At 48.3% G+C, this 15,806-nt stretch overlaps 1 long non-coding RNA gene across 3 annotated transcripts in view, besides 2 other annotated features; it reads left to right on the plus strand.

Annotated features, from left to right (window-relative positions):
- LRRN2-AS1 (LRRN2 antisense RNA 1) overlaps window positions 1-15,806 on the plus strand; it is a 65,547-nt gene that overhangs the window by 6,617 nt on the left and 43,124 nt on the right. For 2 of the 3 annotated variants that reach the window (XR_007066814.1, XR_007066815.1), the window contains exons 3-5: window positions 2,900-9,622; window positions 10,293-10,370; window positions 14,643-14,796. This is a non-coding gene — a long non-coding RNA (LRRN2 antisense RNA 1). Of the gene's footprint in view, window positions 1-240; window positions 9,623-10,292; window positions 10,371-14,642; window positions 14,797-15,806 lie in introns of those variants that run through there. The other variant, XR_007066816.1, reaches the window with a different exon arrangement.
- Window positions 1,981-2,681: an enhancer, noted in NCBI's record as "H3K4me1 hESC enhancer chr1:204541896-204542596 (GRCh37/hg19 assembly coordinates)". NCBI's record gives its function as "activates a minimal SCP1, AML or CMV promoter by ChIP-STARR-seq in primed H9 embryonic stem cells {active_cell/tissue: H9 hESC(primed)}" and the evidence as "EXISTENCE:reporter gene assay evidence [ECO:0000049][PMID:30033119]".
- Window positions 7,458-7,989: an enhancer, noted in NCBI's record as "H3K4me1 hESC enhancer chr1:204547373-204547904 (GRCh37/hg19 assembly coordinates)". NCBI's record gives its function as "activates a minimal SCP1, AML or CMV promoter by ChIP-STARR-seq in primed H9 embryonic stem cells {active_cell/tissue: H9 hESC(primed)}" and the evidence as "EXISTENCE:reporter gene assay evidence [ECO:0000049][PMID:30033119]".

Below are 15,806 nucleotides of genomic sequence, written 5' to 3' on the forward strand. Positions count from 1 at the left end.
TTTTTTTTGAGATGGAGTCTCACTTTGTCGTCCAGACTGGAATGCAGTGGTGCGATCTCGGCTCACTGCAACCTCTGCCTCTAGGGTTCAAGTGATTCTTGTGCCTCAACCTCCCGAGTAGCTGGGATTACAGGCATGTGCCACCACACCTCACTAATTTTTGTATTTTTAGTAGAGACAGGGTTTTGCCATGTTAGCCAGGCCGGTCTCAAATTCCTGACCTCAGGTGATCTGCCCACCTCGGCCTCCCAAAGTGCTGGGATTACAGGCGTGAGCCACCATGCCCAGATGGAAAAGACATTTTAATGCCACAAATGTAGGAAGAATATAATCTCCAATAATGGACAGTCTTTTGAAGGAAATCATTTAGCTTCGTCAAAAAACTGACCTCATTCTTATTTTTCTAATTTCATCCCCCATGTGACATCCTTGTTACACACTCCCCGGCCCTCAGATGGGACTGGCACTTGGGTGCCTCTGGACTAGATTTCCACTTTTCATTTCTACTTTCTGTGCCTGTCTCCATGCTTTCTGCTTTGTGATGAAATGAGGATAGTCATAATGTTAGAAAAAGTTGTGCAAGACTTTGAAATGGCAAAAGAAGGTTGTTATTGGGCATTCTGTCTGTTTGCCTATGGGTTACCCCTGCCTTTCTTTCATTGTCTTTGAGCTATTTTATGACTCTGAAAATTGTAGAAAACTGATAACAATGCAAATGATTTTGTCCATAGAAATGCAAATTATATCCATTGGAAATGCAACTGATTATTGCCCTATGGATATTGACCAGTTTTATATTTGTTAAGCAAATTAATGTCAGCATTCCCGATGGCTTCTGTATGCATCTGCTCTTTGGATTCTTTTTTGAGCGGTCGTAACATCTTACTAGTTCCCTTATTAATCGACGAGTTAAATCATTGGCATGTCTGAATTTCATGTTTGTAAGAGGTTGTATTTATACAAGGGCCTTGATTTTTACCTTTAAACATTTCTTTAACAATAACTCCCCTGAAGGTTGTTATGAGGCAGAATGAGATCATGGATAAGAGAGTGCCTGGCTCAGGGCCTGAATTCACCTCTCATAGTTGGGACAATCCTTGCTTCCTCCTGGTTTCTGGGCTCTAGGGCACCTTGTATTCTCACAAAAATAAATAAAATCTTTTAATTACACTTTTCACATTACAGCATTAGTAACTTTCATGAGAATTTTCACCTTTCAAAAGGAGACCCTAGGGAGACTATAATGCTTACCCAGAGGAATTCCTGCAATGGTGGAAATCCGGAGGGTGGAGTACACAGGTGCCACAGATATTGGGGGCCAAGGGCCTTTAAAATAACCTGCCTAGGTGCTATTCAGCTGCAGAGGGCAGTTCAGTTCCCTGACCTTCACCCCTTCCCCCATGTTGGGAGTGCTGGCCTTACCATGGTAAGGAGAATGGTTACAACTTTGTACCAGGATTTAAAAATATATACTTTATTAAATCCGCTCCTCAGCTAAATCTGTGAGGTGAACATGTTTATCCTTGTTGTTGATGAGAAACTAGGACAGGTTAAATGACTCACCCAAGGTTATACAGCTAGGAAGTTGTTGTGCCAGGATTTAAATCTAATGCCAGGGGCCGGGCCCAGTAGCTCACGCCTGTAATCCTAGCACTTTGGGAGGCTGAGGTGGGTGGATCACCTGAGGTCAGGAGTTCGAGACCAGCCTGGCCAACATGGCCAAACCCCCGTCTCTACGAAAAAAATACAAAAATTAGCCAGGCGTGGTGGGAGGTGCCAATAATCCCAGCTACTCGGGAGGCTGAGGCAGGAGAATCACTTGAACCTGGTGAGGGCCGGGGGAGGGGTGGTGGAGGTTGCAGTAAGCCAAGATTGCACCACTTCACTCCAGCCTGGGCGAAAGCATGAAACTCCGTCTCAATCAATCAATCAATCAATCAATCAATAAAATAAATCCAAGGCCTAAATCCAAATCTCATGCTCTATCTGTGATCTGAGCCATGGAGTAGCCATTCTAATCAGGACTCTTTTTTTCTACTCCAAACTCATCACCACTGCCAAAATCCACTGCCAAGGGTTACACCTGGGCAAGGACATTGCTCCAGTTCAAATTCAAATGACCTGGGAGACAAAACCCACTTTTGTGAAAATATGTCAGAAAGAAATTGATCTGAACTTGGGAACAGGTTTTGATCCAAGGGCTAGTGTACAGCCCAGGGAGGGCCAGCGGAAGTAAGAAGACAGCTCCATCCATCAGGAGCCTCTGTGTTCAGGGGACAGTGGGCAGGGGGTGGGTTGCCAGGAGAGGGAAGAAGCTGGGGAGGATCAAGGGAAAAAGTTAGGGGAAGAGCGCTGAGAGTTCACGCCCACTCTCCTGCTTGGGCCCTGATAACTGGGGAAGATTCAGGGCAGAGAAAGAGGAGTTTACAGGTCTCAGGAACTGAGGTGGGTTACACCCAGTAAATGACTTCCTAAAGGTCAACTAGCCAAAGCCATGCCCTCCTCTGTGGCCTGGGCCAGGTGGGGCAGGCCAGGTGGATGCTGGGATGGCCCAGAGGGCAAATAATGGACAATGAACCAGGCCAGGGCAGCATCTCTGCTGGGCGGGAAAAACAGGAAGCTCAGGCACATGCAAGCCAGGTAAGTGTGTGTCTTGAAGATGGATGAGAGTTCCCAGACAAGGGTGACCTTTTCTTTCACCTCGTCCAGCTAGACAGACGTGGTGGTTCCAAGGCCCCTTGTCATCTGCTGATTGCTTTGTGATTAATGTACAAGTCACTTATTCCCATCTCCTGTCCCTGCTCCATTCTCCCCCAGCTCCCGGGCAGACTCTTCTGCCCTTAGGTAATTTACTTAGAAATGATTGTCCCTAGAATCTCTCCATGTGCTTTGTGTACAGATAGTGACCAGGTTCTGCATGTGATTTCCCTGTGGAATTCCAACCAAGGACAGACAGGTGAGTCACAGCACTATGGAGAGACTTAAATATCTGCAATGAGCAAAGCAAGGCTCAGCCGGGGGCAGACTCAGTCCTGCAGGAATTGCCCTTCTTCCTGCATGGTTTTGGGGTCAGCTGGAGAGCAATGAGTTTGCACATGCTGGTCATTCACCAGAGCTGCCTGTGGGGTCTCAACAGAGTTCCACCTAGAAGGGACAGCCTGACCCTGGTTTACCTGGGAACCAGAGAAAAGCAGCTGGAAGGCTACTCTCAAGTCACCAATACCAAGCCAGGTAGACCCTATCCCCTACAAATACAGGAAGCCAGTGGTCTCCAATGGACATTATTACTTCATTTTCACACATATTTTATTCACTTTGACCTGGGGCTCAAAACACAGACTGCATATAAAATGGGTTTGATGCTGATTTGGCTACATGGACTTCATAATTCATCAGAGCAGGAAAGACAGAATCATAAGCTGTTATTCATTCATTCAACAAATATTTACTGAACACCAGACAGGAGAGAGGGATTGCCTGTGTTAATTCATTAGGAAGAGCACATCGTATTAATAATACTTCATGCTGTTCAGCTTTTCGTGCTGCAGCAGAAATTATTTAATTACCCTTTACTTCCACCCCGGCCTCCCTACCTTCCACTACAGAGCAGTTGAAAATGTTTTTGTTCAGTATGGGGAAGCTTTGTAAGGTAAAGGACAGGCAGGAGAGAAAGAATGCTCTATTTGCAAAACAAGGCCAGGGGTGTGAGCTCTTGAAAGACAGAGCAAAGTTATGACAGCCGGAGGAATGTGAATTCCTCCAACAGACCAAATGGGAGCTTCAGAAAAAAATTAATCTGGTGGCAGAATATATCTGGCTTCAGACTTTTAAGTATGAAACTAGCTGCTGTGAGAATAGGAAGCCCACACTCAGAGCTCAGCCTGCCCTCTACAGAGCAGGCAGGCGTTCCTTTCCCTGGGGACTACGAAGAAGACAAGGGCTTCCGAAGGTGTCCCACACGCAGCCTCCCTCCTTCCCCAATTCCCCCTCCTGCTTCCACACTTATCTCTCCCCCAGTGAGTGATAGCCAAATCCTCTCCACTTGCAGATGTAGCCTTGGGAGGACAGCACAAGGGGATGCAGCCCTGGAGCAGCAGCAGGTGTGGCCCATCTGGACTCACCACTGCTGTGGAAAGGGGCCCCGGCCAGCTGGCCCTGTGGGCTGGAATTAGAGCAGTCGTAATGGGCTGTGTTACACAGTGTGCTCTTCTAATCAGATACATGTGGACATTAACTAATTAACGGCAGCCCTGTGAGTTAAGTATTGTGATGAGTGAATTTGACAGATGAAGTACAGAGAAGTTAAATGACTTGCTTGGGGTCACACTGCTAGCAAGGGGTGGAACAGGGATTTGAATCTGGGCAGTTTGCCTCCAAAGTCCTCATAATTAACAGTGATCCATTCTGCCCTCCTATCTGACCATTTCTCTTATGTTAGACTCTTTTGAATGCAAGTGACAGAAACCCAAGCTAAGGATGCTCCAGGCAAGGAAGCAGCATTTGCAAGGCTTGGAGACCCAAAAGAAGGAAAGCGGTCAGGGAGGGTTCTAAGTTACTGGAAAGAGAGACAGAGGGAAGTCACAGGAGGACCTTCAATTGGGTCAGGCACAGGGAGGCAGGGGCTCACCGCCATGGCCTGAGCTGAGGACACCAGTTGTCACTGGGGCTGGATGTGAGGAGAGACACTAGGGGACTAAGCATGGCCTGGAACCTGCTGCCTTCCTTGGCCCGCGCTCCTCACACCCTCCTACTCCCAACTCTCCTCTCTTTCCTCATTTATTATTATTATTTTTATTTTTTTGGTGGTTTTTCCAAATCTTTTTCCTGCTGCCGACTCCCCTGAAGTCCCTGAAGAATGAGGGCTTCACAGAAGCAGCTTTGATCTCTTTCAGTGGCTCCCAGAGGGGCTGTCTCTGGTGCAGATTAAGTGTGTAGTTTGACACCCATCCCATTAGTCCTGTTCTTTTAATTAAACATTCAGTAGGAGGATGGCGCTGTGGCTGGCATTGGGAGCCGGCAGGGGGCCACCGGGTACATTGAAGCCTTCTTTCTTTAGTGGGATTGCGTGCCTTGATTCATCTTTTTCCCCCTTTGCCACTCTCCACTTCCACCTCTGCCAGTTTTGATGTTTGAGTTCTCCCTGAATCCATACAGGATGCTGGCCATCTCAGGGAGGAGGGCAAGGCAAGCTGGCAACTTGGCCGAGCTCCTGTTGGACTGAGTGGTTTCCTCCTCGGGCTGTTGTGTGTGAACTTGAGTGAGCCATTCAACCTTCCTGGGTTTCTGTGTCCTAATGCATCAGACAGGGCGACTTGTGACTGCTCCTCCTGACCTCCTGTACAGGGAGAGGCTACAGGACAAATGGAACCAAGAGGAGACCCAGAAGGCAGAGGCCCGAGCAGTGTGTCCCTGAGATGCCCAGGTCAGGGCATGCCCTACCCCTTCCCACCAGCAAAAGTTCCAGCAGCAAGGAGGTTCCAGCTGTTCCCTTGGAATCTGTTAGGCTTCTGTGGTTGGGGGATGGGTGCAGGGAGGAGAGAAGAGACTGGAGATGATGCAGTGGCAGAGCAGGGGGTGGTGGGGTGAAGGCTGTGGGCCCACAAACTTGCTTATATGTACAAGGCTGCAATGAATGCAGCCTCTCCTTCCCTCCCCTCCAGCTAGCTGGAGTGCTAACTGGGGTGGACAGACAGGTTGGTTTGGGAGCAGGCGGCAGAGAGGAGATGGGCAGAGCCGGGAGCAGGAGGATGGGCCAGATAACCCTGGGACCTTTGTTCTATGACAGGCAAGTCAGCAGGATGTCAGGCCTGGCTTGATCTTACACCCCTCGACTGAATGCCCGGGAGTCCCTGAGCGTTGGGGCAGGAGGAGCCTTAGAGACTGTAAGGACAGTGTAACCGCCTAGTGGGTTCACCTTCCCTGCTGCCTAGACAGGGGAATTACAGTGAAGAAACAGTAATTCATGCAGAGCCAGCTGTGCGGGAGACCGGAGTTTTATTATTACTCAAATTAGTCTCCCCAAGCATTTGAGCATTCAGGGATCAGAGTTTTTAAAGATAATTCAGTGGGTAGGGGCTTGGGAAGTGGTCAGTGCTGACTGGTCAGGTTAGAGATGGAATCATAGGGGGTCGGAGTGAGGTTTTCTTGCTGTTTTCTGTTCCTGGGTGGGATGGCAGAACTGGTGAAGCCAGATTACTGGTCTTGGTGGTGTCAGCTGATCCATCGAGTGCAGGGTCTGCAAAATATCTCAAGCACTGATCTTAGGTTTTACAATAGTGATGTTATTCCCAGGAACAATTTGGGGAGGTTCAGACTCTTGGAGCCATAGGCGACATGACCCCTAAACTGTAATTTCTAATCTTGTAGCTAATTTGTTAGTCCTACAAAGGCAGACTGGTCCCTAGGCAAGAAGGGGCCCCTCTGGGCACCCAGCCTATTAGATGGTAACTATGCAGAGAGGAAAGGGCAGACTTAGTCCGGGTTCTGCCCCTCGTGCACTATGTGCCCTTGGCCAAAACACTTCCCTTCTCTGGGCCTGGTTTCCTCATCTGGGGTAACTATACCTGCCTTCTTGTGCCTCATGGGGTCAGAGGCTAAAATGAGGTCATTCTCTCTTTTCTGGACATTTATAATTTAATTACAACTAGTTCTTGACCCTGAGAGATTCTTAAATGTGTCTATAAAATTTAGAAGGTCTGAGTTTTACTAACCTGCATCATTTTTCTGGGATCCCAGGATTCCCAGACCAGAGGGTGGGGCAGGGCCCTGTGATATGTCTAACACACCCATGAGGCCTAGAGTGCACCCACCACTGGCTGCAAAGCACTGCAGCTTTATAGGTCCTAGAGCGAAAAATGGTTTACATTTATTGAAGGCTTTTAAAAGAATGTTCCAGGTTCTCCATATCTGTTGTTTCATTGAAGTGTCACCATCTCATTAATGGCTATTGTCCTCATTTTATTTACGTTATGTTTTTGTTTTTTTTGAGGCAGGATCTCACTCTTGTCACCCAGGCTAGGATGCAGTGGCACTGTTACAGCTCACTGCAACCTCGACCTCCCGGGCTCCTCAATTCTCCCACCTCAGCCTCCCAAGTAGCTGGGACCACAGGCATGTGCCACCGCACCTGGCTAAATGTTTGATTTTGTATGTAAACAAGGTCTTGCTATGTTGCCCAGGCTGGTCTTGAACTCCTGGCCTTAAGCGATCCTCCTCCCGCTTCAGCCTCCCAAGGTGCTGGAATTACAGGCGTGAGCCACTGCACCTGGCTTGGCCTCATTTTATACACGAGAAATTTGGGGCCTGGATAAAGTGTAATTATGTCTTCACACAACTGGCAAGTGGCAGAGCCAAGACTCAAACCAGGGTTTGGGGGGCTCCAAATCCCTCAGCCTCTGCTGCCTTGAGGCCTTGGCCAGATGGAGTTGTAGCAGGCGTGACCCTGCGGGTGCCTCAGATCAAGGACTCCCCAGGTTTGCCAGGTGGTGGCCTCAGAGAAGCCCAGGGAGCTGCTGGCCCCTCCTGAGAGGCTAGGGGCAGGACACAAGCTCTCTTGAGTCCTCCCAAAGCTGAAGGAAGAGACGAAGTGAAGGGCCCAGGGCTGCAGAGAGGCTGGACAAGGCAGAGCTCAAGTCAGCTCCTCCTTTAGGAGCCTCCTGAAGCCCCTGGGGAGCTGTCCCTGACTGTACTTCTGCAACAGGTAGCCTGGCCTCTTTTAGGGCACATACATATGTTACTACATTTATGTTATTGTCATCTGCAGGTCGTAAAATTCCACTAGGGGTTCTCCCTTATTCCCTTGAAAAGTCCTTGAGAGCAGAGACCCTATTATGTGTTGCCCTAGGTACCAGGTAGAGGCCTTTCAAAGATTAGTAGGTGATCAATGAATATTGTTGAGTGAGCTATTAATAATGATTATTTCTAAGACCATAAAAGGTGACTTCATATACATGATCTTATTTCCTCATTCATTCAAATCCGTGTACATTTGCTGGGCTTACGATAATATGCCTGGACTTTGCTAGATTCTGGGCATGCAATGACAAATTAGACACCCTGTCTGTGCCCAAGAAACTTATGTCAGGGTGGGGAGAGTGCAGGAAAAAGACTGAAAAAGACAAAACAAAACCAAAAATGAAAGCACAGAAAATTTGCAGTATGTGCAGCCAGCAGTCAACGGGTGCTGGTGAAACCGAGAGGAGGAGGCTCCAGCCCAGCCTGGATCAGGGGAGGCTCCCAGGGGAGAGGAAGAAGGGTTGGGCTTTGTGTGCCAGGAAGGAGGGGGTGAAGGGGAGGGGATGGGGGCTCTGGAGGCAGGGGAGCCTGTGGGAGATGGGACATGTTCAATAGCTCAGTCCAGCAGTGCAGAGGGGAGTTTTGAGAAATGAAACAGGAAGAGGGAAGAATGGAAACCACACCTTTTATTGGAACATAGAGTGCTTTGTATTTCTCAAAACACTTTCACATCTATTATCTCCAGTTAGCCTAAAAACAACAGCAGAAGCAGCAGCAACAACGATGCTGAGTGCTGACTGCGAGCCTGGCTTCCTCGGAGGGAGTTTACCGTGCGCTGCCTCCTTGGACCCTCATCACTGCCCTGCGAAGCAAGCACTTTCCTCACCCCCTCTGTCTGGAGGAGGGCACTGAGGCACCGAGAAAACTGGGCAGGGGAGGCCCGAGAAGGAGAGGGTGGCACCGTCATTCTCACTTTCCAGCTGAGGACACGGGTAAGTGGCATGCGTCCGCTCCTGTGACTTACAGGAGTCCCGGGACTCGCACTCGGGCCTCTGGACTCCTAGCCTGGTGTTTTCCCCTGGAAGTTTCTGAACCAAAAAAAAAAAATGTCTGAACCAAAGCACACAACGAGATTGTGAGTGGAAATCAGCTTCAGCTTCCCTGGTGTTTCTCCACGGTGATCCTCTGTGTCTGTCACTGAAGGGGCCAGGATGTCACCACCAACGGTAATGACCTGGGCTTTGAGTGGAGCATTTAACCTGTTCAGCCAGCTGTTGGAAGTGCAGAAACTAGTCCCTCCCAGTCACAAACTACCCCGGTTGCTCCACCATCTGCATCCAGCTTCATTACTTAATTCACTTTGCAAAGTTAATCCAGTGATCCAAGCTCCTAATAGTCCCCAGTTTGACTTCCGCAGCTTCCCTTTCTCTCCACACCCAGCCTATCCCGGGCTTCTGGGTCACCAAGAAGCAGGACCCTTTCTGTTGATTTCTTCTGGGAGGAGGCCATCTCAATAGCCCTTTACAACAACCCATGAGGTCTCCTGATTTCCGTGTTTTCTTGGAGTCCCCTGAGCTTTGGTTTGCAGCACAAGCTCATTCCCCTCTGTGCTCCCCTCTCACTGTGTGGAACCTTCTCTAATAGACTCACCTCTGGGGAGAGGACGTGCTCCTTTCTGGCCGCAGCTGCAGCCATTCCAATGTACATCAAAGCGCTCGTCTTTCTATCTCCACTTCTTAAATGGTTTTGCTTTTTCTCTATTTCTTCCTTCTCATGGGCAGCTCAGAGCTCATCTGTGACAGTGACCACCCTTCTGCCCCAGCCCTGGCCCCACGACCTTCCCTAACACTGCAAACAACTTCACTCTTGGCCTCCTGCTGGATATCTGGTCAGTGGCCTACATTCCTCCCACTCATGCCTCTTTCTTTTCTTTCTTTTCTCTCTCTTTTTTTTTTTTTTTGAGACAGGATCTTGCCCAGGCTGAAGCCCAAGTGGCAAGATCAAGGCTCGCTGAAGCCTCAACCTCCCAGGTTGAAGCCATCCACCCACCTCAGCCTCCAGAGTAGCTGGGACCACAGGTGTGCACCACGATACCTGGCTAATTTTGTCTTTTTAAAATTTTTTTGTTGACAAGGTCTCACTATGTTGCCCAGGCTGGTCTTGAACTCCTGGACTCAGGCAATCCTCTCACCTTGGCCTCCCAAAGTGCTGGGATTACAGTTGTGAGCCACCATACCTGGCCTGCATACCCTTTTCTATCTGGCTTTCTAGACTTTAAAATCTTTCTTGGTGGCTCCAGTTTGCCATATCTTATGGTCCTGAAATGACCCCTGTCACTGAGGCAGGGAGCAGAGGAGACTGGGAATTTGTGCTGATGGTAAATAGATATGGTTTGAATCCTGGCCACTGCCCACCAGCCATGTGACCAAGACTTAACCATATTTTTTCGGGGTGTTATGCAGAGATAATGAGATCAAAATTGTAAGGCATCTAGTACTGACATAATAAGCTCTCAACAAATGGTAGCTATTTAAGTGTTAATAACAAATCCTTTTCAGATGGTTTCTATAACAGTGAATTTGCAAATAGTTGGAACCTCTGAAGTGCTTCCTCTCCTGGACTGGAAACCCCTTGAGGTCAGTGGCCTTGTCTGCCTATTCACAATGTCCGTCTAGCACATGGTAGGCTCTTAATATATATATATATATATATATATATATTTATTTATTTATTTTTTGATGAATGAATAATCTAGACTATCCTAAATTCTGATATCACGATTCCTTTCTAGTATTAAATTCCAAATTATAATACATGTTAATTGCAGAAAAATTGGAAAATATTTTTTAAAAATAGGAAAACAAAAAAATAGCTGTGATCCTAGTCCCTAGAGATAGCCACAGTTAATATTTTGATATATTTCCCTGCAGCCTTTTTTTCTGTGCTTATGCATATTTCAAAAATTTTATATTCTGGCTTTTCAGTTAACATAATGAGCATTTCCCTGTGTTACTAAATAATCTTCATAAACATAATTTTAAGTGCTACATATATTATTCTGTGCTATGAATGTATCATAATTTATGTAACCAATACCCAGTGGTTGATATTTAAGTTGTTTCCATTTTTCACCATTATAAATAAAGCTACACTGAACATCCTTTTGCATAAATCTTTGTGTATATCTGAATTAAGATTTTCTACCAAGAATAAATTCTACAAAGTAAATTGCTGATTTAACAGTGAACATGTTAAGGCCCCAGGTAAATGTCTTGTTAAATGATTCTTCATAGAGGTTGCACTCATTGTCTGTCCTCCTGCTATCAAGGTATGAGAATTCTCACCACCAGAATATTGTTTAAAATGAAAGAGTCTTTGCCAAATGGAGAAGTGAGACACAAAGCCTATTTTTTCATGATGATCGCTCCTGTCTTTGACAAGCATGGTGCTTGTCAACTTGACATTTTGGACTAGATGGTTCCTGGTGTGAGGGGCTGCCCCGTGCATTGTAGGATGTTTATCAGCATCCCTGACCACCTACTAGATGTCAGTAGCACCCCCTTTCCCCCAGTTATGATAACCAAAAATATCTCCAGACATCACCAAATGTCCCCTGGGGAACAAAATCGCCCCTGGTTGAGAATGATGGAGTTATACTGTATTAACTCTATTGGTTACAAGTAACAGAAACCAACTCTAAGCAAAAATGGGGACTTTGTGAGAAAAGTCTTAAGGTATCATGGAACCCAAAGGCATGGATGCAAGTGGGCCTCCCTCCTCTTTTCAGGGCTGCCTCATTCTTTTCTCTTGCTGTAGACTGGCTTTCTCTCTATTCTTGACTCCAAGGAGGAGAACGGCCACCACTAATATTTCTGAAGTTTATGTCCCTGTGTTTATGAGAAAGCCAGGCTACCCTGGAGTCTCTTGGTTCCAAATGCTCAGGGAAGGACTCTGAGATGCGCAGCTTAGGTGGGCTATGCACAGCTGGTCCCATCAGTGTGGCTGTCGGGGGACAGGAAGGACACGTGGCTCCTGGAGATCTTGTTGTATCCATGTGGATGTGCCTGTATTTCTAGAAAAAGGCTGCTGGGCAGCTGATCCCTTAGGACTCCCCTAGATGCCCACACAACAGAACACTGGACACTTTGGCTACAAGGCCAGGGACTGTCTATCTCAACGGTGTACCCTTCATAGTTCAGCCTAGATGTCCAAGCTTGGCTTGATGGTGGCAACTGCTCTGCCACCCAGGCTTTGGTTTAGGGGTCTTTTGGGGGTGGAGGGGCCAATTCCTCTGTGACTGACTGGCTGATGCAGCTTACTTGAACAGATCCAGCCTAGAGAGCCAACTTTAGAGACTGGCGTTTGCAAGTCTGTAATGGTGTTTGACAGGGGAAGTAGATGACTGCTGGTCCTCCTTCATAAACTCGGCCTTGGAGTGTGCAGCCACTGAGGTACAGGGGTCCCGTGCTGTCCCTGCACTAACTGGAGTGCTCAAAATCCAGCCTCTGCCTTCAAGAAGGGAGCAGGTCGGTGTGCAGTCAGCATGGCCCTGAGACCTAGCCCTGAGGACAGAGACTGTCCCCTGTGGGCACCTGGAGCTGTTGGTAAATGGGCAGAAAGGCAGGGCTGTTACCCATACTTGTATTAGAGGAAGAGCATCCTCTTTTTCTCTCTCTTCTTTTTTTTTTTTTTGAGACAGTCTTGCTTTGTTGTCAAGCTGGAGTGCAGTGGTGCAGTCTCGGCTCACTGAAACCTCCGCCTCCTGGGTTCAAGCGATTCTCCTGCCTCAGCCTCCCAAGTAGCTGGGACTACAGGCACACGCAACCACGCCTGGCTAATTTTTGTATTTTTAGTAGAGATGGGGTTTCACCATGCTGGCCAGGATGGTCTCCATCTCTTGACCTCGTGATCCTCCCAAAGTGCTGGAATTACAGGTGTGAGCCACCACGCCAGGCCTAGCATCCTCTTCTGAAAGTCTTTCCAGCACACAGATGCCATTCCTGCCTTCACCTCGCCGTGTGGTCTTGGACGGTCATTTCTCTGAGTCTCAGTTTCTTCATCAGAAATGAAATGATACCTGCCTTGGCTTCCTCATAGCATCTAAAAAGACATTTGATAGAAAAGTGCTTTCAAAAGCAGATTGCAGGCCGAGTGCAGTGGCTCACGCCTATAATCCCAACACTTTGGGAGGCCAAGGCGGGTGGATTACTTGAGCCCAGGAGCTTGAGACGAGCCTGGGCAACATGGCAAAACCCTGTGTCTACAAAAAGTACAAAAATCAGCCGAGGATGGTGGCACACGCCGGCAGTCCCAGCTACTCGGGAGTCTGGGGTGGGAGGATCACTTGAGCCCAGGAGGCAGAGGTTGCGGTGAGCTGAGATTACACCACTGCACTCCAGGCTGGGTGACAGAGAGAGACCCTGTCTCAAAACAAACAAATAACAACAACAACAAAAAAAAAACAAGAAACAAAAAAAACAAAAGCAGATTGCAAAAGCAGTGCACATCTTGTAATAAAGATGCTTATGATCATTATTTCAGTTCTGGGGAAATTCTAAATCCTTGGCGCCACTTATTGCACAACAGAGGCAGGGCCTGGGGCAGTGCTGCTTCTGCGCCATCTCTCTCAGACCTGGAGCTGGCTCCAGATTTCTGCTGCCTGAGAATATTTCAGGGAAGTTTCCCCTAGAAACTGAGAAGCCTAAACGTGAGTTGGGTTTTTATTCCCTGTGTGACCATGGCCATGTTAATTCACCTCTCTGGGCTTCTATCTCAGCATCTGTGAAGTGGGCATAATAGTGGCATCTATTTATACGTCATTTATGCCTGTCAAGTGCTTGTGCCTGGCACAGGGTAGGTGCTCACTCAGTGGTTGCTCTGCTTGTTTATATCACAATGTGGCAGGCACTGGGCCAGGTGCCAGGCACTGAGAGATGAATAGAATGTAACCAGCCCTTAGGACACTTATGATTTACCAGAGGAGATGGCACAAAAAGCATATTAAAAAGCAATGTGGCAAATTAAATGGTAGTAATCCTACCAAGTGATAGTGCTCCTGGGATTGGGTTCCTCTCAGATGCTCCCCAGGGGCTACTGGAGTGATGTCAGGTAAGGCAGGACACCAGGAAACACCCATTCTCCCGGGCTCTCTGCAGAGCAGGCAGCTTTTGGACCTACCCGCTTCAAGGAGCTGAAGAAATGCCTTCCTCCTCACCTCTCAGGCTCACAGGGAACATTTTTCAAAGGGAAAAACTCTTTTTTTTTTTTTTTTTGTAGTCATCCAATGTTTTCAACCCTAGGGCAATGGTTAGGGAGAGAGGACATCTTGTGGGTGGCCTATAACACGGTCAGTAACCTTATGCCACAAAGACTACACATGACATAGAAAGGTACTTATGTTGTGCACCGAGGAGGCACTGACCCTGTGCATTCCCAGCACCTCAGAACCGCTAGCTCTGTGCAAACCTTCCAGCCACCTCGGGCCCAGGAAGGCGGGGTGGGGGCCTTGATTCAGAAAAGGCAGAGACACTGCAGTCCTGGGGAGGGGTGATGTCTAGAGCCTGAGAGGAGCAGTGGAGCACTCACGGGAAATGCAAAGCAGACGCAAGACCAGGCCCAGAGCCTGGCGGAAGTGGGGAGGGGTGGGGCAGGTGTGGGGCATTAGTTGGGGAGGGGCTTGCTAGGAGGAGGTGACTTCAGAAGGCATCTGCGGACTGTGGTCTGGGACTCTGCTGGATGTGGCATGGCTTTGCCACCCTCAACTCTGGTGTGTTAAAGAGGTAAAGGTCACACGTACACATGGATGAGGACAGGGAAGACACACAGGAAACAAAAACAGATTTGTTAGGGCTGTCGAAGAGTGGTTTGCTTATTTTGAGGCCTCTCCCCATTTCTCTTTTCCTTATCAGGATGTGTACGGCACCCGCATCCCCTCCATCTGCACCCGCAGCCACAGCCACAGCCACAGCCAGCGCTATGTCCCGTTGCCATTCACATTCATACCTGCAACGTACACTCATACATGTGTCGGATATTTGCGAAGAAGCTCCCTTTCCCACCTAGGTAAATGCTAGCTTCCAGAAATTTGAAAAAAAATGAGTGTAATTCCTACTGGGTTGGTTCCCAGCAGGCCTTTGTCTTTCCTTCTCCCTCCTCCAGGCCCCTCTTCTTTCCTTTCCTTTCCTTTCCCTCCTCTACCTCTTTCCCTTCCTATTCTTCTGCTCCTCCTCCCTCCCAGCTGGTTCCCTATTTCCCTTACCCCCTCAAACATCTCCCCTCTCTCCATCCCCACTCCCAATCTGCCAAACCCACCCCCACCTAAAAATGTGGACCGTGGAGTCTCTGACCGAGGTTTCCTTTCCCAACATGGGGAGCCCGGGCTGGCTGCGATTTGTTGGGGACAGGTAAGAAGGTGCAAACTTGGGGGTTCAGAGGGAGGGCGGGGGGGGTGGCTGGGATGCATGGGGTAGGTAGGGGTGGCAGTTTTTCCAAATTATACATTCAGGCCATATGTGGAACCCTTGCAGAGACCTGGCTTGCTGTTTTTCTGTCTCTTCCTGGTGTGCTGGGCAGTCTCTCTGTGCTCATGGTTTAACCAGTCTTTCTTTATTTTTATTTTATTTATTTATTGTTTGAGACAGAGTCTTGCTCTGTTGCCTAGGCTGGAGTGCAGTGGTGTGATCTCGGCTCACTGCAACCTCTGCCTCCAAGTTTCAAGTGATTCTCCTGCCTCAGCCTCCCGAGTAGCTGGGATTATAGGCACCCGCCACCACGCCCAGCTAATTTTTGTATTTTTAGTAGAGACGGGGTTTCACCAGGTTGGCCAGGCTGGTCTCGAACTCCTGACCTCAGGTGATCCACCCGCTTCGGCCTCTCAAAGTGCTAGGATTACGGGAATGAGCCACCATGCCTGGCAGCTCTTTTCTATTTCTTTTTTGGCTCTCTCTTGTCTCTCTCTCTTTTTTTTTTTTTTTTGTTTTTTGTTTTTTTTTTTGAGATGGGGTCTTGCTCACTATGTTGCCCAGGCTGATCTTGAACTTCTGGGCTCAAGCCATCCTCCTGCCTCAACCAGC

Source organism: Homo sapiens, chromosome 1, assembly GCF_000001405.40.
Source record: "Homo sapiens chromosome 1, GRCh38.p14 Primary Assembly".
Classification (NCBI taxonomy): domain Eukaryota; kingdom Metazoa; phylum Chordata; class Mammalia; order Primates; family Hominidae; genus Homo; species Homo sapiens.